Source organism: Homo sapiens, chromosome 19 (assembly GCF_000001405.40).
Source record: "Homo sapiens chromosome 19, GRCh38.p14 Primary Assembly".
In the NCBI taxonomy this organism is placed as follows: Eukaryota; Metazoa; Chordata; class Mammalia; order Primates; family Hominidae; genus Homo; species Homo sapiens.
The window spans coordinates 15199997-15225282 of NC_000019.10; the positions used below are offsets into that span (position 1 = coordinate 15199997).

Below are 25286 nucleotides of genomic sequence, written 5' to 3' on the forward strand. Positions count from 1 at the left end.
TCTAGACGGCGCGGCCATTGTCCCGAGCGGGGGAGGGGAGGGAGGAGAGGAGGAGGGGCGGGGGCCCCTGGCCGGCTGGGGAGGGGCTCTGGCCGCGGGGAGGGGGCGCTGGAGCCGAAGGGGAGCACGTGGGCCCTCGCCCCTTCCCCTCCCCGCGCAGGGGCGGGGTCCCAGGGCCTCCGGGTCCCCGCGGCCAGAGGAGAGAGGCGGGCTGCGGGCGGGGGAGGGGGCGCGCGCGCCGCCGAGGCTCCGGCTCGGAATCCGGCTCCGGGTCTTGCTGCGCGCCGGCCTGGGAAGTTTTCTCCGAGTTCAGAGCTCCCAGAACTTCGCGCCCCCTCCCCACCCCCCGCCTGGCCCAGCCCGCCCGGGGTGTCGGGGGCGGGGTGGGGGGGCTTTTGTGCGAGAGGTCCCCGGCCTAGAAGTACCTGGGCCCCCAATCATAACCTACCCAGGACTCCAGGCGTGAGTTGGATGGGGACGAGTCCCGAACTCTGTACGCACCCCCCCACCTCGAGTCCCTGATCCCCGCACCTCGAGCTCCCAGTCTCGGACTCCTGGGTCCCTTCATCTTCAGCTCTAATCGCTCAAGGGTCCCTGTTCCTTGGGCCTCTGGGGTCCTCCCCATTCTGAATCTCTGGGTCCTCCAGGACTGGCATGAAGCCCGGGGCTCCTGCGCCCCTTCCCCGACCCTGGTTCCTGCCTCCCATGAACCCCCGCCAGCCCCGGCCTTGGGGGTTCTTGCACTCCCCCTCTGCCGCCCTCGTCCCATCCGCCAGGTCCCGGCCCCTCACCTGCAGCCCCCGGCCCCGCTAGCAGCAGCAGCAGGGGCAGCGCCCGCACGGGTGGCGGTGGCGGTGGCGGCGACATCGGGCGACGGCGGCGGCGGCGGCCACGGGCCCCCGGCCCCATGGCGGCCGGCCGCGACCCTCCCCTCCTCCCTCCTTCCCTGGGCTCCGGGCGCGTCCCGGGCCAGCCTCCGCGCCGCCAACTTCGCCGAAGTGAGGCGGCCGGGCCGCCCCGCCCCCAGCCCTCGAAGGCTCGCCCCGCCCCGGGGCCGGCCCAGCGCGCCCCCGCCCCCCGCCCGGCCTCCCGGGGTCCCTGCCCACCCTCCACCCGCACAGCCTGGGACGCGCGGACCCTCGGAAACCCAGGCCGAGCATGCAGTGAGACGCGGGCAGAACCCGGAGTGGCGGGCACACCCAACCTCGTGAACGCCCACGCACCCCATCCCCATCCCCCAGTACACACCCAGAGCCGGACACCTCTGGAGCCGGGACAAAAAACACAGCCTCCCAGAAACTCTGGAAACTGAGGCCAGTCACGTCCTGAGAGGCTCATGGACCCACAGCCACGGACGCACAAATGCAAGCCCATGCACCAAGCTTCCCCAGGACTCTGATCTAAAACATTCACAAACCTAAAAGTCGGACCGGGCGCGGTGGCTCCGGCCTGTAATCCCAGCACTTTGAGAGGCAGAGGTGGATGGATCACTTGAGGTCAAGAGTTGGAGACCAGCCTGGCCAACATGGTGAAACCCGGACTCTACTGAAAATACAAAAATTAGCTGAGCGTGGTGGCGCACGCCTGTAGTCCCAGCTATTCGAGAGGCTGAAGCAGGAAAATCGCTTCAACCCAGGAGGCTGAGGTTGCACTTAGCCGAAATCGTACCACTGCGCTCCAGCCTGGGCAACAGAGTAAGACCCTGTCTCAAACAAAACAAACAAACAAAAAACCGCTAAAACTCACTCAGCCAGGCCAGGAGCCTAGGACTACATTTGCAGCCTCAGACCTCAGACACGTACTAGGAGTCACATGCATGTGTGTGTGTTCACACATGCACACACAAACTCTTCTTGCTCTCAGCCCTCCCAGAAAGCAACCCACTTCCTCTGTGACTCTCAAAGGGTCACCCCAGCCCCCTAGTCCCACCCCCATACCCCACACAGCTTTGGGCCTCAGCCTATCTGGCTCAATTTGATTAATTCTCTTTTCTTTTTTTTTTTTTTTTTGAGACAGCGTGTCGCTCTGTCACCCAGGCTGGAGTGCAGTGTCCCTATCTTGGCTCACTGCAAGCTCTACCTCCCAGGTTCAAGCGATTCTCCTTCCTCAGCCCCCACCCCCACAATCTGCCAAGTAGCTGGGATTAGAGGTGTGCGCCACCATACGTGGCTAATTTTTTCTGGGTTTTTGTTTACTTGTTTGTTTGTTTTTGAGACGGAGTCTCGCTCTGTTGCCCAGGCTGAAGTGCAGTGGCATGATCTCCGCTCACTGCAAGTTCCGCCTCCTGGGTTCACACCATTCTCCTGCCTCAGCCGTCCGAGTAGCTGGGACTACAGGCAACTGGCACCATGCTCTGCTAATTTTTTTTTTGTATTTTTAGTAGAGACGGGGTTTCACCGTGTCAGCCAGGATGGTCTCGATCTCCTGACCTCGTGATCTGCCTGCCTCAGCCTCCCAAAGTGTTGGGATTACAGGCGTGAGCCACCGCGCCCAGCTTCTATTTTTTTAGTAGAGACTGGGTTTTGCCATGTTGGCCAGGCTGGTCTCGAACTCCTGACTTCAAGTGATCCGCCCGCCTCAGCCTCCCAAAGTGCTGGGATTACAGGCGTGAGCCACCACGCCCAGCCTTGATCAATTGCCTTTTCCCAAATCAGTCATGCTGCACAGGCTTCCTGCAGCTCCCTCTGTTCCTGTGGAAAGAATGGGGACCCTGAGAGGCCTGGAGCCCAGCCCTGGAGGAACTTCCAGTCTGGGGAAGAAAAAGCTAGACGCACACACACCCAGTGTGGAGGGCTCAGGGCTGGGCCAGAGAAAGGCATGGAATCTGGGAAGGGCCTGGGGTACACGGGTGGTGGGTGAGGACTTTGCCTGGGAGGGTTATTTATTTGTTCATTCATGTATTCAACAAGTATGGCTAAGGCTCCAGCCCTGTATCACACTCTGTTCTATGGACTGGGGGTGCACCCTGGAGGGCGTCCAAGAGGACGTCCAGTGGGGCTTGGCCCTGAAAGTTGAGCTGGAGGGAAGTCATCCCAGCAGAGGGACTGGCCCATGCCAACAGGAAGGGACAGAGTTGGAAGGGAACGTGTACAGGCCAGAGGTTAAGAGGAGAAAGGAGCCATGCTTACTCCTTGGTATCTGGCTTGGTGATAAGGATGCTGGAAGAAGGAATGGGTTGGGTGGAGGAGAGATGCTGGGTTTGAGGGGGTCACCTACAAGGCAGGTATGGCTGAGCATGGGAGAACCATTCTGGTAGGAGATAGTCACATGGGTATCCCAGAAATCTTCAGACAATTTTTTTTTTTAGACAAAGTCCCTCTGTCACCCAGACTGGAGTGCAGTGGCGCGCGACCTCGGCTCACTGCAACCTCTGCCTCCCGGGTTCAACTGATTCTCCTGCCTCAGCCTCCCAAGTAGCTGGGATTACAGGCACACACCACCATGCCTGGCTTTGTATTTTTAGTAGAGACAGGGTTTCACTATGTAGGCTAGGCTAGTCTCAAACTCTTGAACTCAGGTGATCTACCCTCCTCTGCCTCCCAAAGTGCTGGGATTACAGGCATGAGCCACCACGCCGGGCCAATTTTTTTTTTTTTTTTTTTTTTTTTTGAGATGGAGTTTTGCTCTTGTTGCCCCGGCTGGAGTATAATGGCGCAATCTCGGCTCACCACAACCTCTGCCTCCTGGGTTCAAGTGATTCTCCTGCCTCAGCTTCCCGAGTAACTGGGATTACAGGCATGTGCCACCATGTGTGGCTAATTTTGTGTTTTTAGTAGAGACAGAGTTTCTCCATGTTGGTCAGGCTGGTCTCCAACTCCCGACCTCAGGTGATCCACCTGCCTCAGCCTCCCAAAGTGCTGGGATTACAGGCATGAGCCACCACTTCCGGACTCTTTTTTTCTTAAGACCAAGTCTCGGTCTGTGGCCCAGGCTGGAGTGCAGTGGTGCCATCTCGGCTCACTACAACCTCCATTCCTGAGTTCAAGCGATTCTCCTGCCTCAGTTCCCCCCGCCACCCCAAGTAGGTGGAACTACAGGCCCACACCACCATGCCCGGCTAATTTTTGTGTCTTTGGTAGAGACAGGGTTTCACCATGTTGTCCAGGCTGGTCTCGAACTCCTGACCTCAAGTGATCTACCCACCTCAGCCTCCCAAAGTGCTGGAATTACAGGCGTGAGCCGCCATGCCTGGCCACAGTTTTTTTAACTTTTTATTTGAAAATAATTTAAGCCGGGCGCGGTGGCTCATGCCTGTAATCCCAGCTCTCAGGGAGGCAAGAGGCGGGAGGATAGCTTGAGCCCAGAAGTTCAAGACCTGCCTGGGCAATATAGTGAGACCCCATTCTCCACAAAAAGGAAAAAAAAAAAAAGACGAAAATAATTTAAAACACACAAAGTTGCATGCCGGGCGTGGTGGCTCATGTCTGTAATCCCAGCACTTTGGGAGGCTGAGGCAGGAGGATTGTTTGAGGCCAGGAGTTCAAAATCAGTCTGGGCAACATAGCAAGACCTCCATCTCTATAAAAAATTAAAATAAAATTAAGAGGGTGTAGTGGTGAGCGCCTGTAGTCCCAGCTACTTGGGAGGCTGAAGTGGGAGGATCACTTGAGCCTGGATGTCACTGCACTTCAGCCTGGGCAACAGAGCAAGAACCAACTTCAAAACAAAAACAAAAAAAACTGAGAGTTACAGAATAGCGTGAACAACTTGTATAAGCCCTTTGTCCAGATTCACCAACCACCCACATTTTGCCACATTTGACATATATGTGTACATATACGTTATACACATATGCATATATGCATTTTTTGGCTAAATGATTTGAGAGTAAGTTGTAGATATGATGTTCCTTTGCCTTCAAATACTTTGCTGTGTGTTTCCTGAGAACAAGGGTATCCTCTTTCATAAACATACTACAGTTTTTGCCCCAGTCTGTATTCAAAGTTTGCTAGTTGCCCAAATAATATCCTTTATTGGGCCAGGTACAGTGGCTCACACCTGTAATCCCAACACTTTGAGAGGCCAAGGAGGGAGGATTGGTTGAGGCCAAGAGTTCAAGGCCAGCCTGGGCAACATAGTAAGACTCCTGACTCTACAAAACTAGAAAAAATTAGCAGCATATAGTGGCGCGTACCTGTAGTCCCAGCTACTCAGGAGGCTGAGGTGAGAGCGTTGCTTGAGCCCAGGAGGTCGAGGCTGCCGTGAGCTGTGATCATCCTGCTCCACTCCAGTCTGGATAACAGAGCAAGACCCTGTGGGGAAAAAACAAAAAAATTAGTGGCCGGGCGCGGTGGTTCACACCTGTAATTCCAGCACTTTGGGAGGCTGAGGCCGGCTGATCACCTGAGGTCAGGAGTTCAAGACCAGCCTGGCCAACATGGTGAAACCCCTTTTCTACTAAAAATACAAAAATTAACTGGGCATGGTGACAAGTGCCTGTAATCCCAGCTACTCGGGAGGCTGAGGCACGAGAATCGCTTGAACCCAGGAGGCGGAGTTTGCAGTGAGCCGAGATCGCGACACTGCACTCCAGACTGGGCAAAAGAGCATGATTCAGTCTCAAGAAAAAAAAGAAAAGAAAAGAAAAAAAAAATTAAATCTTTTATTGCAATGTTTCTTTGCTGGCCCAGGATCTATCTAATGCTGCATCATGAGTTGCATCTAATCCTTTTGTTTTGAGACAGAGTCTCGCACTGTCACCCAGGCTGGAGTGCAGTGGCATGATCTTGACTCACTGTAACCTCCACCTCCCAGGTTCAACTGATTCTCCTGCCTCAGCCTCCCAAGTAGCTAGGATTCTCCTGCCTCAGCCTCCCAAGTAGCTAGGATTCTCCTGCCTCAGCCCCCCAAGTAGCTAGCCACCACACCCGGCTAATTCTAATCCTTATATCTCTTGGTCTCTTTTAATCTGAATTGGTTCCTCAGTCTTTCTTTGTCTTTCATGACACTGACGTTTTTGGAGAGCTGAGGTCAGTTGTGCAGAATGGCCAGCAGTTGTGCAGGAATGGCTGGCCTGCCATTTCCTCGTGATCAGGTTCAGGCTGTGCATCTTCGGCAGAAACCACAGAAGCATTGCTGGGTCCTCCTGGGTGCATCGTATCAGGAGGTTCCTGACATCAGTTCCCAGCATTGGTGATGTTCAGCTGTCATCACCGGGGCAAAGTTGGTCAAGTTTCCCTGCTATAAGGGTGCCATTTTCCTCCCTTTCCATCCTCCCCCTTTGTAAGGGGGATGAAAGTTGAATGACTGACCAGGGGCTAGCATCGCAGAACAGTTACCCTATAGGGAGATACATTGAGACCGTGTGAATATCCTACTGCCCAATAAGCTTTCCCCCATAGATTTTAGCATCTTTTGATTATTTCTCCTGATCATTGTTTTGCTTTCTTTTTTTGTTCGTTTGTTTTTGTTGTTGTTGTTGTTGTTTTCTTTCTTTCTTTCTTTTTTTTTTTTTTGAGACAGTGTCTTGCTCTGTTTCCCAGGCAGGGTTCCAGTGGCACAATCATAGTTCACTGCAGCCTCGAACTCCTGGGCCCAAGTGACCCTCCTTCCTCAGCCTCCCGAGTAGCTGGGACTATAGACACGCCCCACAACTCCTGGCCTTCTCTGGTGCTTTTTGTTTTAATTGAGGTAAAATTCACATAACGTAAAATTAAACATTGACCACTTTAAAGTGTGTTCATACTGTGTGACCATCACCTCTAGTTACAGATCATTTCCATCCCTGCAAACGGAAACCTCCCCATTCTCCCTCCTCCAGGCCCTCGAACCCACTAATCCACTTTCTGTCTCTATGAATTTATCCATTCTGGGCATTTCGTGTCAATGGAATCATACACTATGTAGCCTTTTGTGTCTGGCTTCTCATCATGTTTTTGGGGTTGTTCTATGTTTTAGCATGGATCCTGGCTTCCTTCCTTTTAATTTTATTTTATTAGTTATTATTATTATTATTATTATTATTATTATTATTATTATTATTATTTTTCAAGACAGGGTCTCACTCTGTTGCACCCAGGCTGGAGTGCAGTGGCACGATCTCAGCTGACTGCAACCTCCATCTCCTGGGTTCAAGTGATTCTCCTGCCTCAGCCTCTTGAATAGCTGTGACTACAGGTACTTGCCACCACACTCAGCTAATTTTTGTATTTTTAGTAGTTAATAATCCTAGTTATTTTGTAAAAATATAAAAATTTATGTTTTTAATAGAGCCTCACCATGTTGGCCAGGCTGGTCTCAGCCTCCCAAAGTGCTGGGATTACAGGCATGAGCCACTGTGCCCGGCCTTCCTTCCTTTTTATGGCTAAGTAATATTTCATTGAATGGCTATACCACACATTACTTATCCAGTGGTCCATTAATACTTTGGATGGATGATTTTTTTTTTTTTTGAGACGGAGTCTCACTCTGTCACCCAGGCTGGAGTGCAGTGGTGTGATCTCAGCTCACTGCAACCTCCGCCTCCTGGATTCAATCAATTCTCTGCCTCAGCTCTCAAGTAACTGGGATTACAGGCACTCACCACCATGCCTGACTAATTTTTGTATTTTAGTAGAAACGAGGGTTTCACTATCTTGGCCAGGCTGGTCTCGAACTCCTGACCTTGTGATCCACCCGCCTCGGCCTCCCAAAATGCTGGGATTACAGGCATGAACCACTGTGCCTGGCTGGATGGATTTTTTTTTTTTTTTTGACGGTCTCTTGCTCTGTTCCCTAGGCCGGAGTGCAGTGGCGCAATCTTGGCTCACTGCAACCTCTGCCTCCCAGGTTCAAGAGATTCTCCTGCCTTAGCCTCCTGAGTAGCTGGGGTTACAGGTGCACCACCATGCCCAGATAACTTTGTGTATTTTTAGTAGGGACAGGGTTTCACCATACCGTCCAGGCTGGTCTCAAACTCCTGACCTTGTGATCTGCCCGCTTTAGCCTCCCAAAGCGCTGGATTACAGGCGTGAGCCACCACGCCTGGCTGGATGGATGATTTTTAAAGGCTGAAAGAGAAAGAAGCAAAGGAGACAGAGAAGGATTGTCAAAGAGAGACAGCCGGGCATGGTGGCTCATGCCTGTAATCACACTTTAGGAGGCAGATGCAGAAGAATTGCTTGAGCTCAGGAATTCCAGATAAGCCTGGGCAACATAGTGAAATCCCATCTCTATAAAAAATTTTAAAATTGCCGGGTGTGGTGGCTCACCCCTGTAATCCCACCATTTGGGAGGCCAAGGCGGGAGGATCATAAGTTCAGGAGATGGAGACCATCCTGGCTAACATGGTGAAACCCCGTCCCTACTAAAAAATACGAAAAATTAGCCAGGCATGGTGGCACGTGCCTGTAGTCCCAGCTACTCAGAGGCTGAGGCAAGAGAATCGCTTGAACCCGGGAGGCAGAAGTTGCAGTGAGCCGAGATTGTGCCACTGCACTCCAGCCTGGGTGACAGAGTGAGACTCCGTCACAAAAAAAAAAAAAAAAAAAAATTAATTATCTGGGCATGGGCACACACTGGTAGTCCCAGCTACTTAAGAGTCTGAGGGGCTGGGCGCGGTGGCTCACATCTGTAATCCCAGTACTTTGGGAGGCCGAGGCGGGCGGATCATGAGGTCAGGAGATCGAGACCATCCTGGCTAACACGGTGAAACCCTGTCTCTATTTAAAAAATACAAAAAATTAGCCGGGCGTGGTGATGGGCGCCTGTAGTCCCAGCTACTCGGGAGGTTGAGGCAGGAGAATGGTGTGAACCTGGGAGACAGAGCTTTCAGTGAGCCGAGATCGTGCCACTGCACTCCAGCCTGGGCGACACAGCGAGACTCCATCTCAAAAAAAAAAAAAAAAAAAAAAAAGAAGAGGCTGAGGCGGAAGGATCGCTTGAGCCCAGGAGTTCCAGGCTGCAGTGAGCTATGATCACACCACTGCACTCCAACCTGGGTGACAGAGCTGTCTCAAAAAGAGAGAGAGAGAGAGAGTGCTAAGGATGAAAGTTGAGGCCCGGGCACAGTGGCTCACGCCTGTAATCCCAACACTTTGGGAGGCCGAGGCGGGCAGATCACAAGGTCAGGAGTTCCAGACCAGCCTGACCAACATGGTGAAACCCTGTCTCTACTAAAAATACAAAAATTAGCCGGGCATGGTGGCGCATGCCTGTAATCCCAGCTACTCAGGAGGCTAAGGCAGGACAACCACTTGAACTCGGGAAGTGGAGGTTGCAGTGAGCCAAGATCGCGCCACTGCACTCCAGCCTGGGTGACAAAGCGAGACTCTGTCTCAAAAAAAAAAAAAGAAGAAGAAGAAAGTTGAATGACTGACCAGCGGCTAGCATCACTGACAACCCCTGGTCTTGCCCTGGCTTCTCAGAGGGCAGGAGGTGAAGATGTTCAATCATTTCCATCTTACAGGTACAGCCATATAACTTAGAGAAGACAGGCCAGGCGCGGTGGCTCACGCCTGGAATCCCAGCACTTTGGGAGGCTGAGGTGGGTGGATCACCTGAGGTCAGGAGTTTGAGACCAGCCTGGCTAACATGGTGAAGCCCCGTCTCTACTAAAATACAAAACTTAGCTGGGCACGGTGGCGGGTGGCTGTAATCCCAGCTACTCAGGAGGCTGATGCAGGAGAATCGCTTGAACCTGGAAGGCAGAGGTTGCAGTGAGCCGAGATCGCACCACTGCACTCCAGCCTGGGCAACAATAGTGAAACTCCATCTCAAAAAAAACAAAAAACAAAAAAAACAGTGACTCACTGCAGCCTTTCTGGAAGAAAAGTTGAGGTTTGAAGCTAAGTCTCAAGCCAGGTGTAGCGGTGCACGCCTATAGTCCCAGCCACTCGGGACACTGAGGCAGGAGGATCGCTTGAGCCCAGGAGTTCCAGGCTGCAGATGATCATGACACTGCATTCCAGCCTTGGAGCAAGACTTTCTCAAAAGAAAAAAAAAAAACTGGCTGGGCACAGTGTAGCACACCTGTAATCTCAGAACTTTGGGAGGCTGAGGCAGAAGGATCACTTGAGCTCAGAGTTTGAGACCAGACTGGGCCACATAGTGAGACTCTGTCTCTACAAAAAAAGAAAAGAAAGAATTAGCTGGGTGTGGTGGTGTGCACCTGTTGTCCCAGCTACTCAGGGGGCTGAGGCAGGAGGATCACCTGAGCCTAGAGTTCGAGACCAGCCTGGGTAGCACAGTGAGACCCCATACACCTGTAGTCCCAGCTATGTGGGCGTCTGAGGCAGGAGGATCACCTGAGCCTAGGAGTTCCAGACTGCAGGGAGCCATGGTCGAGTCGCACCACTGCACTGCAGCCTGGCCAACAGAGTGACCTTATTAAAAAAAAAAAAAAGGAAGAAAAAGAAAAAAAATGAACCTGGGTCTCAGTGACTCCCGGCCACATGGAGTACAGGGGCGGGGTAGGGGTTGGGCAGAGGAATAACAGAAGTTGCCTAAGAAGGGGCACACACTGACTCACGGTGACTGTGCTGAGTCAAGAGGCCCATGGGGACAGGCACAGATCTAGTCCTGCGTCATGCCTACCACCCAGGAAGGAAATCCAAGGCCCTCAGTCCTGCATTTGGGCCCCTTGGGCCGGGACTGACCCTCTCCTTCCTAACCCTCCCCACCAAACCCCCAGCAAAAACAACAAACAAAAAACCATTGTCACACCATGTCAAACCCCAGATGCAACCAGCAGGCCTTGTGCTCCCATGGTCTTTGCCTGGGTGCTTCCCTCTGCCTGAGACACCCAGCTGCACAGAAACACCCTTTTGCTTCCTCCCCAAGCAGGAACTCACAGCCAGTGTGACCTCTTCAAAAATTCATTTTCTTCCAGCTAGAGGGAATGTTCTGCTGTTTCTCACACAGTTCTCACACAGGCCACCCCTTTGCCCATGCCGCTCTCTTTATTTTTTTCTTTTCTTTTCTTTTTTTTTTTTTTTTTTGAGACAGAGTTTCGCTCTTGTCACCCAGGCTGGAGTGCAGTAGTGGTGTGACCTCGGCTCACTGCAGCCTCCACCTCCCAGGTTCAAGTGATTCTCCGGCCTCAGCCTCCCATGGAATTACAGGGGCGGGCCACCACACCCGGCTAATTTTTGTATTTTTAGTAGAGATGGGGTTTCACCATGTTGGCCAGGCTGGTCTCGAACTCCTGACCTCAAGTGATCCGCCCGCCTCAGCCTTCCAAAGTGCTGGGATTACAGGCGTGAGCCACCACGCCTGGCCTGCTCTCTTTCTTTCTTTCTATTTATTTATTTACTTATTTTTAATAGAGACAGGGTCTCGTTCTATAGGCCAGGCTGGAGTGCAGTGGCGTGAACACAGCTCACTGCAGCCTTGACCTCCCAGGCTTAAGTGATCCTCCCACCTTGGCCTCCCGAGTAGTTGGAATTACAGGTGCTCAGCACCACACCCTGCTTATTTTTGTATTTTTTGTAGCGATGAGTGTCTCGCTATGTTGCCCAGGCTGGTCTCAAACTCCAGAGCTTGAGCGATCCTCCTGCTCTTGGCCTCCCAAAGTGCTGGGATTCCAGGCCTGAGCCACTGTGCCTGGCCCCTTATTTCTATTTCTGGTTACCTCCTATCCATTCTTCAGGGATACCACTCCGGGAAGTCCTCCCTGTCCCTCAGTCTGCGCTGCTCTCTCCCCGACACCCCCGCTCTCCCGGTGCCCTTTTTCTCCATGGCTCAGCCTTGTTCACAAGGGGTTGGGGGTGTCTGTACCCTGGTTTGTCCCCTATTTAAAGACTAAGGGCTGGCTGGGCACAGGGGCTCATGCCTGTCATCCCAACACTTTGAGAGGACGAGGGGGGTGGGTCACCTGAGGACAGGCATTTCAGACCAGCCTGGGTAACATGGTAAAACCCTGTGTCTACAAAAAACACAAAAATTAGCTGGGCATGCTGGTGCATACCTGTAGTCCCAGCAATTCAGAAGACTGAGGTGGGAGGATTGCTTGATCCTGGGAGGTGGAGGTTGCAGTGAGCTGAGATCGTGCCCCTGCACTCCAGCCTGGGTGACAGACTGAGACCCTGTCTCAAAACAAAAACAAAAAACAAACAAACAAAGGACTGAGGGCTCCTTGGGGGTTAGACAGAGGATGAGGCTTCTTGAGGGTCCCAGCATCCCCCAGCATGGAGTGAGCAAAAAGCAGGTGACGTAGGACGGTTTGGTGACTCAGGAAGGGGCTGAAGGAGCTGGGAAGCCCAGCCCAGAAGAGCCACTTCAGGGCCGGGCGAGGTGGCTCACGCCTGTAATCCCAGCACTTTGGGAGGCCAAGGTGGGCAGATCACGAGGTCAGGAGATCGAGACCATCCTGGCTAACATGGTGAAACCCCATCTCTACTAAAAATACAAAAAATTAGCCGGGCGTGGTGGCAGGTGCCTGTAGTCCCAGCTACTCGGGAGGCTGAGGCAGGAGAATCACTTGAACCCAGAAGGTGGAGGTTGCAGTGACCCAAGATCGCACCACTGCACTCCAGCCTGGTGACAGAGTGAGACCCTGTCCCCCGAAAAAAAAGCCACTTAGCCACTTCAGGGGCCTCAAACCACTCTGTTCAGTATAATTTTGCAGGCGGGGGTGGTCTATGGTTCCACAGAAGGGTCTAGGGATTGAGGGGCAAAGTTAGGGCCCTCAAGGAAAGGCCAGCTCCTCCCTTGGCCCATCTGAGAAGGGGCTTTCTTTCTTTTTTTTCTTTATTTTATTTATTTATTTATTTATTTTGAGACAGAATGTCATTCTGTCACCCAGGCTAGGCTGCAGTGGCTCGATCTCGGCTCACTGAAACCTCCGCCTCCGGTGTTCAAGCGATTGAGAAAGGGCTTTCTGCTGGAATGGATGCTGTAGGAGGTGCTGAGCTCCTCATCACTAGGAGCAACCAAGGACCCTGGACACACATTTCACTAGGCAGGAAGTTCAGAGTCTGTGACTGCTGATACAGCACACCCTGATCTGTGGGAGAGGGGGAAGTAACGGTGAAAACCCAGGCAGAGGACTTCACGGGGGAATACAGACTAAAAGAAGAAAGACCCGGCCAGGAGCGGTGGCTCATGCCTGTAATCCCAGCACTTGGGGAGGCTGAGACGTGCGGATCACTTGAGGTCAGGAGTTCGAGACCAGCCTGGCCAATATGGTGAAACCCCATCTCTACTAAAAATACAAAAATTAGTCAGGCTTGGTGGCAGACGCCTGTAATCCCAGCTACTTGGGAGGCTGAGGCAGGAGAATCACTTGAGGCAGGAGAATCATCCCTGCAACCCAGGAGGCAGAGGTTGCAGTGAGCCGAGATCGCACCACTGCACTCCAGCCTGGGCAACAGAGCAAGACTCTATCTCAAGAAAAAAAGAAAAAGACCCCGCCGGGTGCAGTGGCTCAAGCCTGTAATCCCAGCACTTTGGGAGGCCGAGGTGGGCGGATCACAAGGTCAGGAGATTGAGACCATCCTGGTTAACATGGTGAAACCCCGACTCTACTAAAAATACAAAAGAAATTAGCCGGGTGTGGTGACGGGCGCCTGTAGTCTCAGCTACTTGGGAGGCTGAGGCAGGAGAATGGCGTGAACCTGGGAGGTGGAGCTTGCAGTGAGCAGAGATTGTGCCACTGCACTCCAGCCTGGGAGACAGAGCGAGACTCCATCTCAAAAAAAAAAAAAAAAGAAGAAGAAGAAAGACCCATCTACAAAGCACCCGCTCAGCCGAAGATGGGGTCTCAGCTGCGGGTTCCTGCCACTGCCCTCCAGCCACGGTGGTGGGACCCACCCAAGGTGTCCAGATCCCTAGGGGACTGGGCAGTCGGAGCAACCCTTCCCATGGCCTTGCAGCTGCGGCCGCACAGTTCCCAACATGGTGGGGGTGGGCTTGAGCCCCCTCCCCGGCCCCTGCTGGCTGCCTTGGCTGGGGACTGCATTTCTCCTCCATGAGCTCAGTCCCTGGGGACGCGGGACCTGGGGCCAGGCCAAGACACAGCTGCCGGCCCGCTGACCGGGAACCTGAGAATGTGCCCTTGGCTTCTCCTCTTGGGACTACAGTCCCGCCCTCTGCGCGGAAGCTGGGGCCAGGTTCTCGAGCCAGGCAGTGGGCTGTGGGAGCCTAGTGAGAACCAGCAGGAGTGAGGGCAATTGAGTGTGGGCCTTCGGCAAGTGTGGGGAGGCTGGACCCAGCCATGTCCCCTGGACACTGCTTCCCTGGGACACTCCGATGCTTGAAACTTCCATGGCTCCCCATTGCCTGAAGTGACACAATTCCTCCCCACCTCATCAGCTTCATCTCCCTGCCTCTCAGCCTTGTCAGCCTTTGCATGCAGAGTTCCCACTGGTAGGAAAATGCTTCTCATACTACAAAGGCTCCTTTCCCCTGGCTGCTCACTCTGAACCTCCAGCTCTTCTCACCTTCATTCAGTCATTCAACAAACATTTACTGGACACCTACTTGGTGCCAGGCCTTATTGTAGACAGAGGTGACCCAAGACAGAGCCAGTTCCTGCCCTGAGAAGGGAAGCAGACAAGAAACAAATAGGCAAACAAGAACCATCAAGGTTGAGTGCAGTGGCTCACGCCTGTAATCCCAGCACTTTGGGAGGCCAAGGAAGGAGGATCACTTGAGTCCAGGAGTTCAGAACCAGCCTGGTCAACATAGCGAGACCCCACCTGTCTCTTCAGAAGAAAAAAAAAAATTTTTTTTTGAGATAGAGTCTCGCTCTGTCACTAGGCTAGAGTGCAGTGGCACCATCTCCACTCACTGCAACCTCCACCTCCCGGATCCAAGTGATTCTCCTGCCTCAGCCTCCTGAGTAGCTGGGATTACAGGCATGCGCCACCACGTCTGGCTAGTTTTTTTTTTTTTTGTATTTTTAGTAGAGACAGGGTTTCACCATGTTGGTCACGCTGGTCTCGAACTCCTGAGCTCGTGATCCACCTGCCTCGGCCTCCCAAACTGCTGGGATTACAGGCATGAGCCACCATGCCTGGCCTAAGAAAATTTTTTAAATTAGCCAGGCATAGGTGGTGCATGCCTGTAGACCCATCTACTCCCGAGGCTAAGGCAGGAGGATCACTTGAGCCCAGAGTTTGAGGCTGCAGAGAGCTATGATTGTGCCATTGCACTTCAGCCTGGGCAAAAGAGCAAGACCCTGTCTTAAAAAAATAATAATAAAGAGGCTGGGTGTGATGGCTCATGCCTGTAATCCCAGCACTTTGGGAGGCTGAGTTGGGTGGATCACCTGAGGTCAGGAATTCGAGACCAGTCTGGGTCAACATGGTGAAACCTCATCTCTACTAAAAATACAAAAATTAGCCGAGCACGGTGGCAGGTGCCTGTAATCCCAGCTACTCAGGAGGCTGAGGCAGGAGAATTGCTTGAACCCGGGAGGCGGAGGTTGTCATGAGCTGAGATTGCACCACTGCACTCCAGCCTGGGTGACGGAGGGAGATTCCATCTCAAAAAAAAAAAAAGAAAGAAAAAAGAAAAGAAACCAAAACAGAGCCATTGAGACAAGATGGTTAAATGTGAGGGAGAGAGGGGGAAGTCACCTAAAGAAGGAGAGGAGCCAGCGAGGCAAACATCCAGGGCTAGGGTGTTCCAGACAGAGTGAACAGCAAGTGCAAAGGCCCAGAGGAGGAAGGAGAGGGTGGACGAGAGGAACAGCGAGGAAGCCTGGGTGCCTGGTGCTGAATGAGCAAAGGTGAGGAGGTCAGGGAAGCAGGTGGGGCTGACTCCCAAGGGGCCAGAGGGTCTGGGATTCTAGCCCAAGCACAGTGAAGCCACTGGAGGGTTTTAGCACAAGAAGCTGATCTGATTTAGTTTGCAAACAATCACTTTGGGTTTTTTTGGTTTTTTGGAGACAGAGTCTCACTCTGTCGCCCAGGCTGTAGTGCAGTGGTATGATCTCACCTCACTGCAACCTCTGCCTCCGGGTTCAAGTGATTCTCGTGCCTCAGCCTCCCGAGTAGCTGGGACTACAGGTGCACACCGCCATGCCCAGGTAATTTTTTTGTTTCTTTGAGACAGAATTTCACTCTTGTCACCCAGGCTGGAGTGCAATGGCGTGATCTCGACTCACTGCAACCTCCGCCTCCCGGGTTCAAGCTATTCTCCTGCCTCAGCCTCCCAAGTAGCTGGGATTACAGGCATGCACCACCACGCCCAGCTAATTTTGTATTTTTAGTAGAGATAGGGTTTCTCCATGTTGGTCAGGATAGTCTTGAACTCCCGACCTCAGGTGATCCACCCACCTCGGCCTCATAAAGTGCTTGGGATTACAGGCGTGAGCCACTGCACCCGCCATTTTTATTTATTTATTTTTATTTTTTCACGGAGTCTCACTCTGTTGCCCAAGCTGGAGTGCAATGGTGCCATCTCAGCTAACTGCAGCTTCCACCTCCTGGGTTCAAGCAATTCTCATGCCTCAGCCTCCCAAGTAGCTGGAATTACAGGCACCAGCCATCATGCCCAGCTAATTTTTTTATTTTTGTAAAGAACGGGTTTTACCATGTTGGTCGGGCTGGTCTTGGACTTCTGACCTCAGGTGATCGGCCCACCTCTGCCTCTCAAAGTGTTGGGATTACAGGCGTGAGTCACCGCCTCAGCCTTTTTTTTGTTTGTTTTTTTGGAGTTAGAGACAGGTTCTCTCTTTGTCACCCAGGTGGAGTGCAGTGGTGCAATTGTAGCTCACTGTAACCTCAAACTCCTGGGCTCAAGCGATCCTCCCCTCAGCCTCCTAAGAAGCTAGGACCTACAGACATGCACCACCATGCCCGGCTAATTTTTTTTTCTTTGTCTTTTTTTTTTTTTTTTTTTTTTTTTGAGACGGATTCTCGCTGTCGCCAGGCTGGAGTGCAGTGGCATGATCTCAGCTCACTGCAACCTCCGCCTCTCAGGTTCAAGCGATTCTCCTGCCTCAGCCTCCCCAGTAGCTGGGACTACAGATGCGTGCCACCACGCTTAGCTAATTTTTGTATTTTTAGTAGAGACGGGGTTTCACCATATTGGCCAGGATGGTCTTGATCTCTCGACCTCGTGATCTGCCCGCCTTGGCCTCCCAAAGTGCTGGGATTACAGGCGTGAGCCACTGCGCCCACCCTTTTTTTTTTTTTTTTTTTTCCTGTAGAGATACAGTCTTGAACTCTTGGCCTCAAGCAATCTTCCTGCCTCAGCCTCCTGAAGTGCGGGAATTACAGGCATGAGCCACCATGCCCAGCCTGGAATTCACTTCGATGGAGCGTCTGCAGCTCTGTGGCTCTGGGAAAGGGTAGAAGGGAGGCCATTCTCAACCCCTTCTGGGGGTGCTGGTTTCCCCACCCCAGAAGCTTCCATTGGGTCTGACGCCCTGTTCTCTGTCCTGTCTTCTCAGGCCCTGGGCTCCGGACCACAGCAACCTTCCATGCCCATGGCCTCACCCTGGATCTTATCTCCTCTTGCTCACCTCTGAACTGTGATATTCTGATGTCCCCTAACTCAGTGGCCTCCAACCTCTTTGGCACCAGGGACTGGTTTTGTGAAAGACAATTTTTCCACGGACCGGGGTAGGGGGTGGTTTCGGGATGATTCACGTGCATTACTTTTTTTATTTTTTACTTTTTTGAGGCGGAGTTTCGCTCTTGTTGCTCAGGCTGGAGTGCAGTGGCGTGATCTCGGCTCACCGCAACCTCCGACTCCCGGGTTCAAGCGATTATCCTGCCTCAGCCTGCCGAGTAGCTGGGATTACAGGCATGTGCCACCATGCCTGGCTAATTTTGTATTTTTAGTAGAGATGAGGTTTCTCCATGTTGGTCGGGCTGGTCTCAAACTCCTGACCTCAGGTTATCCTCCCACCTCGGCCTCCCAAAGTGCTGAGATTACAGGTGTGAGCCACCGTGCCTGGACACTGGACACTTTCTTTTTTTCTTTCTTTCTTTTTTTTTTTGAGATGGAGTCTCACTTTGTTGCCCAGGCTGAAGGGTAGTGGCACAATCTCGGCTGACTGCAACATCTGCCTCCCGAGTTCAAGCATTTCTCCTGCCTCAGCCTCCCGAGTAGCTGGGATTATATATGTGCACCACCACACCCAGCTAATTTTTGTATTTTTAGTAGAGACAGAGTTTCACCATGTTGGCCAGGCTGGTCTTGAGCCCCTGACCTCAGGTGATTCGCCCGCCTTGGCCTCCCAAAGTGCTGGGATTAGAGGCGTAAGCCACCGTGCTCGGCCTACATTTTAATTTTTATTTATGTATTTGAGACAGAGTCTCGCTCTGTCACCCAGGCTGGAATGCAGTGGTGTGATCTCGGCTCACTGCAACCTCTGCCTCTTGGGTTCAAGTGATTCTTGTGCCTCAGCCTCCTGATTAGCTGGGATTACAGGTGTGCGCCACTACACCCACCTAGTTTTTGTATTTTCAGTAGACAGGGTTTCATCATGTTGGCCAGGCTGGTCTCTAACACATGGTCTCAAGTGATCCATCCACCTCAGCCTCCCAAAGTTGTGGGATTACAGGCATGAGCCACCGCGACCAGCCTCAAACGCATAAGATTTATTGTGCACTTTATTTCTATTATTATTACATTGTACTATATGATGAAATAATGATACAACCGTAATGTAGCAACAGTGGGAGCCCTGAGCTTGTTTTCCTGCAACTAGACGGTCCCATCTGAGGGTTATGTGAGACAGTGACAGATCATCAGGCATTAGATACTCATAAAGAGCATGCAGTCTAGATCCCTCACATGCGCGGTTCACAGTAGGGTTTGCACTCCTATGAGACTCTAATGCTGCTGCTTATCTGACAGGAGGCAGAGCTCAGGTGGTAATTTGCGGAGGGGGAGGGGCTGTAAATACAGATGGAGCCTCGCTGGCTCTCCCGCCACTCAGCTTCTGCTGTATGGCCCTGTTTCTCTGTGGCCTGAGGTTTGAGGACCCCTGCCCTTACTGCTCCCTGACCCCAGAAGTTTGTCCTCCTTCCTGTAGGGGTGACACTTGTCCCCACTGTCCCAACTACCTTCCCTCCTACTTGAGAGAAGGGGACCTCCTCCCCTAGGCTTTCATTACCTCCTTCCTTAGCCATAGGCTGAAATCTCTTCCATGATGAAGTAAAAATCTGGCCAGGTGCAGTGGCCCACACCTGTAATCCCAGCACTTTGGGAGGCCGAGGAGGGCAGATCACTTGAGGTCAGGAGTTTGAGACCAACCTGGCCAACATGGTGAAACCCTATCTGTACTAAAAATAAAAAAATTGGCCAGGCATGGTGGTTCATGTCTCTAACGTCAGCAATTTGCAAGGCGGGCAGATCGCCTGAGTTCAGGAGTTCGAGAGCAGCCTGGCCAACATGGTGAAACCCCCTCTCAACTAAAAATACAAAAATTAGCCAGGTGTGGTGGCGGGCACCTGTAATCCCAGCTACTAGGGAGGCTGAGGCAGGAGAACCGCTTGAACTCGGGAGGCGGAGGTTGCAGTGAGCCAAGATTGTGCCACTGCACTCCAGCCTGGGTGACAGAGCAAGACTCCGTCTCAATAAACAACAAACAAACAAACAAAAATTAGCTGGAGGTGATAGTGTGAGCCTGTAGTCCCAGCTACGCAGGAGGCTGAAGCAGGAGAACCACTTGAACCCAGGAAGGCAGAGGTTATAGTGAGCTTAGATCTCACCACTGCACTCCAGCCCGGGTGACAGAGTGAGACTCCATCTTACAAAAAATTAAATAGGCAGGGCCTGGTGGCTCACATCTGTAATCCCAGCACTTTGGGAGGCCAAGGTGGGCAGATTGTCTGGTGGCTCACATCTGTAATCCTAGCACTTTGGGAGGCCAAGGTGGGCAGATTGCTGAGCTCAGGAGTTCAAGACCAGCCTGGGCAACGTGGTGAAACCCTGTCTCTACTGAAATACAAAAAATTAGCCGGGCGTGGCAGCGTGAGCCTGTAATCCCAGCTACTCAGGAGGCTGAGGCAGTAGAATCACTTGAACCTGGGAGTTGGAGGTTGCAGTGAGCCGAGATTGTGCCGCTGCACTCCAGCCTGGAAGACAGAGCGAGACTCCATCTCAAAAAAATAAAAAAATACAAGAAATAAATAAATACTAAAGTAAAATCCACAGCAAATGCTCATCCCACATCTGCCCGGCCCCAGCTCTGGTCGCCTCTCCCTGCTTTGCACCTCCCCAGACCCCTGGCTCCACCTCTCCCTTCTCCACTCCACTCTGTGCATTCTACAGATGTTCTTGTCCTCCAGTTTCCGGTGGGTTTGGACAACTGGAGGCACTAGCAGAAGATGTAGGGCGGGCTTGGTGGCTCATGCTTGTAATCCCAGCACTTTGGGAGGCCGAGGTGGGCGGATCACTTGAGGTCAGGAGTTCGAGACCAGCCTGGCCAACATGGTGAAACCCCGTCTCTACTAAAAATACAAAAATTAGCCGGGCGTGGTGGTGGGTGCCTGTAATTCCAGCTACTTGGGAGGCTAAGGCAGGAGAATCACTTGAACCTGGGAGGCAGAGGTTGCAGTGAGCTGAAATCACGTCACTGCACTCCAGCCTGGGCAACAAGAGCGACACCCCATCTCAAAAAAAAAAAAAAGAAGAAAAAGAAAAAGAAAAAAAAAGATGTCAGAGGAAAGTGAATTGGGGACACTAATCCTCCCGGATCCCTCCCTGCGGGGTCGCCTCAACTTGGCTGTGTCCATCATCCACACGACTCTCTCCCTAGGCTCTGCTAACATCCTTCCCCTTGCCCCATCGGGAGCATCCAGAAATGATAAAGGATCTCCAAGGGTGCTTGCCCTGGCTGCCTCAGCAACTCCTGTTGGTTTCCCCAAACTCTGCCCACACCACTGTGTATAGTCCTTGCAGCAAACCTGCCTCAAATTTCCCGGTTTGTAATTTTTTTTTTTTTTAATTTTTAGAGACTGGGTCTCACTGTGTTGCCCAGGCTGGTGTCGAACTCCTAAACTCAAACGATTATCTCTCCTCAGCCTCCCAAAGCTCTGGGATTACAGGAGTGAGCCCGGGTGCCTGACCGCATTACTCTGTTTGAATGTGTTCAGTTGTTTTTCCCCAAGCCTCCAATATTTCCTTGCCCCTCCCTGCTTAACCTCATTCAGAGCAGCCAAGCCCTCTGCCTTCAGTCTCACTCCTGGCTTTCCTCCCTCATAACTTGGAGATTTGTATAGCTCTCACTTGATTATCTCAGAGGTTGTTTTTGTTTTATTTTGTTTTGTTTTGTTTTAGGGTTTTTTGTTTTTTGTTTGAGACAAGGTCTCGCTCTGTCTCCCAGGCTGGAGTGCAGTGGCACGATCTCAGCTCACGGCAACCTCCACCTCCCAGGTTCAAGCAATTCTCAAGCCTCAGTTTCCTGAGTAGCTGGGACTACAGGGACCCGCTACCACGCCCAGCTAAGTGTTTTTTTTTTTTTAAGTAGAGACGGAGTTTCACCATGTTGGCCAGGCTGGTCTTGAACTCTGGCCTCAAGTGATCTGCTCACCTTGGCCTCCCAAAGTGCTGGGATTACACGAGTGAGCCACTACGCCCGGCCTGGGTTTTTGTTTGTTTGTTTTTAAGACACGGTCTTGCTCTGTCTCCAGGCTGGAGTGCAGTGGCATGATCACAGCTCATTGTAGTCTTGACCTCACAAGCTCAAGCGATCCTCCCATCTCAGCCTCCTGAGGAGCTAGGACTACAGGCACACGCCTCCATGCCCAGCAGTTAAATTTTTTTTTTTTTTTTTAAGAGACAAGGGGTCTTGCAATGTTTCCAAGGCTGGTCTCAAAACTCTTGGTCTGCCGTGATCCTCCTTCCTCGGCCTCCCAAAGTGCTGGGATTGAAGGCATGAACCACCACGCTTGTCTCTCAGCAGCTTGTGACGCCAGGAACTACATCCCTATTCCTTGACGCTCCTCCCTCCTCCATTGCTGGGGCATCACTTTTGCCTGGTTCACCTCCTACCTTTTTTTTTTTTTTTTTTTTTGAGATGGAGTCTAGCTCTGTCATCCAGGCTGTAGTGCAGTGGTGTGATCTTGGCTCACTATAACCTCCACCTCCCGGGTTCAAGCGATTCTCCTGCCTCAGCCTCCCGAGTAGCTGGGATTACAGGCGCCCACCACCACGCCTGGCTAATATTTGTATTTTTAGTAGAGACGGGGTTTCGCTGTGCTGGACAGGCTTGTCTCAAACTCCTGACTTCGTGTTCCTCCCGCCTCGGCCTCCCAAAGTGCTGGGATTACAGGTGTGAGCCACTGTGCCTAGACTTTTTTTTTGAGATGGAGTCTCCCTCTCTCGCCCAGGCTGGAGTGCAGTGGCATGATCTTGGCTCACTGCAACCTCTGCCTCCCGGGTTCAAGTGATTCTCCTGCCTCAGCCTCCCGAGTAGCTGGGACTACAGGCATGTGCCACCATGCCCGGCTAATTTTTTGTAATTTTGGTAGAGGTGGGGTTTCACCATGTTAGCCAGGACGGTCTCGATCTCCTGACCTTGTGATCTGCCCGCCTCGGCCTCCCAAAGTGCTGGGATTACAGGCGTGAGCCACCGTGCCTGGCCTCACCTCCTACCTTTGTGGCCTCTCTCCTCTGCCTGTCTCTGAGGTGTTGGGGGTCCTCAGGGTTCAGTCTCCAGTCTTGTTCTCCATTCTGCTCTAGGGAGACTTCACCCTCGCTCCCAGCTTAAGAGCCTCTCTGCCCCACAATACACCGATGCTTGCTGGGCTATTTTTGTCTTTAGCCCATAACATGCTTCTAAGTCCCTACCCCGGGATCCAGCGCCGTCAGACTGAATATATCCCAAACCTGCCTCTGTACCTTCTCAGCGTATCTGCTCCTCTTCCAGTGCCTGGACTTGAGTCTCGTTCTCCACTGCCTGGACCACGCCCATCCTCCTCTGAGGCCTTCCCGTCCTCTGGTCCGGCCTTCTCACCATCCCCCAAGTAACATTCCAGACACACGGATCTGTCCGAGACCCTCCCCTGCTGGCATGTGAAGCCTTTTATAGTCTCACGTCTTCCTAGCCCAAACTTTCCTCCCAGTCTCACGGAAATGCTAAATCATCCCGGCGTGGGAGGCTTCTGTGGGTCGGGGCGCAGCTTTGCAAGGTTCAGCTCCAAGACTGCTTCCTCCAGGGAGCCTTCCCTCCCTTCCCCCAGGTAAGTGCTCCTCCCCAGTTGCTCATTCCACCAGGGCCTGATCACACCCTGCTGGCAGTGTCAGAGCCCGGCTTTGTCTTCCACCACCCCTCCTAGAACTGGTGGCAGGGACAGATGAATGGATGAATGAATGAATGGGAAGTGAGAATTCTACTACTGGACCATCAATGCAGCCCTCGGAATGAGTGAGTGAGTGAGTGAGTGAGTGAGTGAGTGATGGAAAGTGGTCTGGAGGCAGGGAGAGGGACAGGCCGATCATGCGAGGAATCCCAGCCCAAGCCCCCGAGGTCCCCGCTCCCGCCCTAAAAGATGCACGCGCCAAGCCCTTGGGCCAGAAAAAAAAAAAAAAAACGGGCCGGGATTGGCTCAGGCTGGGGGAGGCGGGTCTACGACGAGACACGATTTTCTATTGGCTTACTCGCCAGGACTCTGCCCAATCGACGCGATCGTCTTCCCCAGAAGACCCCCGCCTCCCTCCCGCCGGCGGCCGCGGAGGCGGAAGAAGGCGCCTTTCCGTCGCCCTAGCAACCGTCAGCGGATCTCCGTCGCCCGGGCAACTGTCCCAGGCCTCCCGTCAGCCTTTGCCTGGGCCCCTCCGGTCACTCGGACAACCGCTACCCGTTCCGGTCAACCATCAACCCGTCCCCCGTCACCCCGGCAACCATCGCCGGACCCACCTACCCCTGGACGCCGTCCTGGTCCTGTCCGCAGGCCTCCTCGCCCCAAACCTCCGCCGCGGGCTCCGACGTCCGCGACCCCACGTCTCAGGGGCTCCCTCCTCCTCCTGCCCGTCTTCTCGCCTCCCCGGGGCGGGGGGCATTGCTCCTCCCCTGGCAGGGGGGCCCCGGGTTGGACCCGGCTCTGGGGGTCCCTGCTCGGTCGGGACAGTGGGACCGCCCTGTGCTGTGGCCGCGCGCAGCCCCCCGCAGGCTTCGGCGCTCGCACTCTTGCGTGGGACTGTCCAACCGCCACAGGGAGCTCTTCAAAATGCAAGCCATGTCCCTTCCCTGCTGAAAACCCTCCCCTGGCTCCCCTTGAGAATCGAATCCAAGCTCCTCGCAGCCCCTGGCGATCTGGCTGTGTGGCCTCTTCTCTGAAGCCTCCTCGCTCACTCTGCCTTAGCAAGGCCCTGGCCTGCGTGTTGTAACTCCAATGACCCAAGCTTCTTCCCGCCTGGGACCTTCCTAGTCACTACTTCCCACTCCACCAAAAAGTGCATCCTAGACGGGCGCGGTGGCTCATGCCTGGAATCCCAGCACTTTGGGAGGCCGAGGTGGGAGGATCACTTGAGCCGAGGAGTTTGAGACCACTCTGGGCAGCATAGTGAGACGTCTGTCTCTATAAAAAATTTTTGGGAGGCCGAGGCAGGCGGACTGCTTGAGGTCAGGCGTTGGAGATCAGCCTGGCCAACATGGTGAAACCCCGTCTCTGCTAAAATTACAAAAATTAGCCAGGTGTGGTGGCGTGTGTCTGTAATCCTAGCTACTGGGGAGGCTGAGGCAGGAGAATCACTTGAACCCAGGAGGTGGAAGTTGCAGTGAGCTGAGATGGCGCCACTGCACTCCCGCCTGGGCAATAGAGCAAGCCTCCATTCTCAAAAAAAAAATTAAAAATTAGCCTGGCATGGTGGTGTGCCCCTATAGTCCCAGCTACTCAGGAAGCTGAAGCAGGAGGATTGATTGAGCCCAGGAGGTAGAGGCTGCTGTGAGCTTACGTCACACCACTGCACTCCAGCCTGGGCAACAGAGTGAGACCCTGTCTCAAAACAACAACAAATAAGTGCATCCTCTAGCTAGGGTCCCACCTGTGAGTCTTCAGTGAAGCCTTCCCTGAGCCCTGTCAGCTCTCTCCTCCTTAAACTCTTTCTGGCTCACACTCTGTCACTAGGACCTAGAACACTGCCTGGTATCTATGTTGAGTAAAAAGATGTTGTGCCAGGCGCAGTGGCTCACGCCTGTAGTCCCAGCACTTTGGGAGGCCGAGGTGGGCGGATAATGAGGTCAGGAATTCGAGACCAGCCTGGCCAACATGGTGAAACCCCATCTCTACTAAAAATACAAAAATGGGCCAGGTGCGGTGGCTCACGCCTGTAGTCCCAGCACTTTGGGAGGCCGAGACGGGTGAATCATGAGGTCAGGAGATCGAGACCATCCTGGCTAACACGGTGAAACCCTGTCTCTACTAAAAATACAAAAAATTAGCCGGGCGTGGTGGTGGGCGCCT

At 53.1% G+C, this 25286-nt stretch overlaps 1 protein-coding gene across 2 annotated transcripts in view, besides 5 other annotated features; it reads right to left on the minus strand.

Annotated features, from left to right (window-relative positions):
• The window catches only part of NOTCH3 (notch receptor 3), a 41958-nt gene extending 40959 nt beyond the window's left edge, over positions 1-999 (minus strand). For both annotated transcript variants that reach the window (XM_005259924.5, NM_000435.3), the window contains exon 1: positions 792-999. In XM_005259924.5, the coding sequence (XP_005259981.1) occupies positions 792-909 (118 nt within the window). In that variant the 5' untranslated portion in view covers positions 910-999. The remainder of the gene's footprint in view (positions 1-791) is intronic.
• Positions 69-295: a silencer, noted in NCBI's record as "fragment chr19:15310876-15311102 (GRCh37/hg19 assembly coordinates)". NCBI's record gives its function as "represses an EF-1alpha promoter that drives an FKBP-Casp9 reporter gene in an ReSE screen in K562 erythroleukemia cells {active_cell/tissue: K562}" and the evidence as "EXISTENCE:reporter gene assay evidence [ECO:0000049][PMID:32094911]".
• Positions 882-1383: an enhancer, noted in NCBI's record as "H3K4me1 hESC enhancer chr19:15311689-15312190 (GRCh37/hg19 assembly coordinates)". NCBI's record gives its function as "activates a minimal SCP1, AML or CMV promoter by ChIP-STARR-seq in primed H9 embryonic stem cells {active_cell/tissue: H9 hESC(primed)}" and the evidence as "EXISTENCE:reporter gene assay evidence [ECO:0000049][PMID:30033119]".
• Positions 1384-1883: an enhancer, noted in NCBI's record as "H3K4me1 hESC enhancer chr19:15312191-15312690 (GRCh37/hg19 assembly coordinates)". NCBI's record gives its function as "activates a minimal SCP1, AML or CMV promoter by ChIP-STARR-seq in primed H9 embryonic stem cells {active_cell/tissue: H9 hESC(primed)}" and the evidence as "EXISTENCE:reporter gene assay evidence [ECO:0000049][PMID:30033119]".
• Positions 22514-23210: an enhancer, noted in NCBI's record as "H3K27ac-H3K4me1 hESC enhancer chr19:15333321-15334017 (GRCh37/hg19 assembly coordinates)". NCBI's record gives its function as "activates a minimal SCP1, AML or CMV promoter by ChIP-STARR-seq in naive H9 embryonic stem cells {active_cell/tissue: H9 hESC(naive)}" and the evidence as "EXISTENCE:reporter gene assay evidence [ECO:0000049][PMID:30033119]".
• Positions 23381-23460: a silencer, noted in NCBI's record as "silent region_10268". NCBI's record gives its function as "represses an Ori minimal core promoter by ATAC-STARR-seq in GM12878 lymphoblastoid cells {active_cell/tissue: GM12878}" and the evidence as "EXISTENCE:reporter gene assay evidence [ECO:0000049][PMID:35858748]".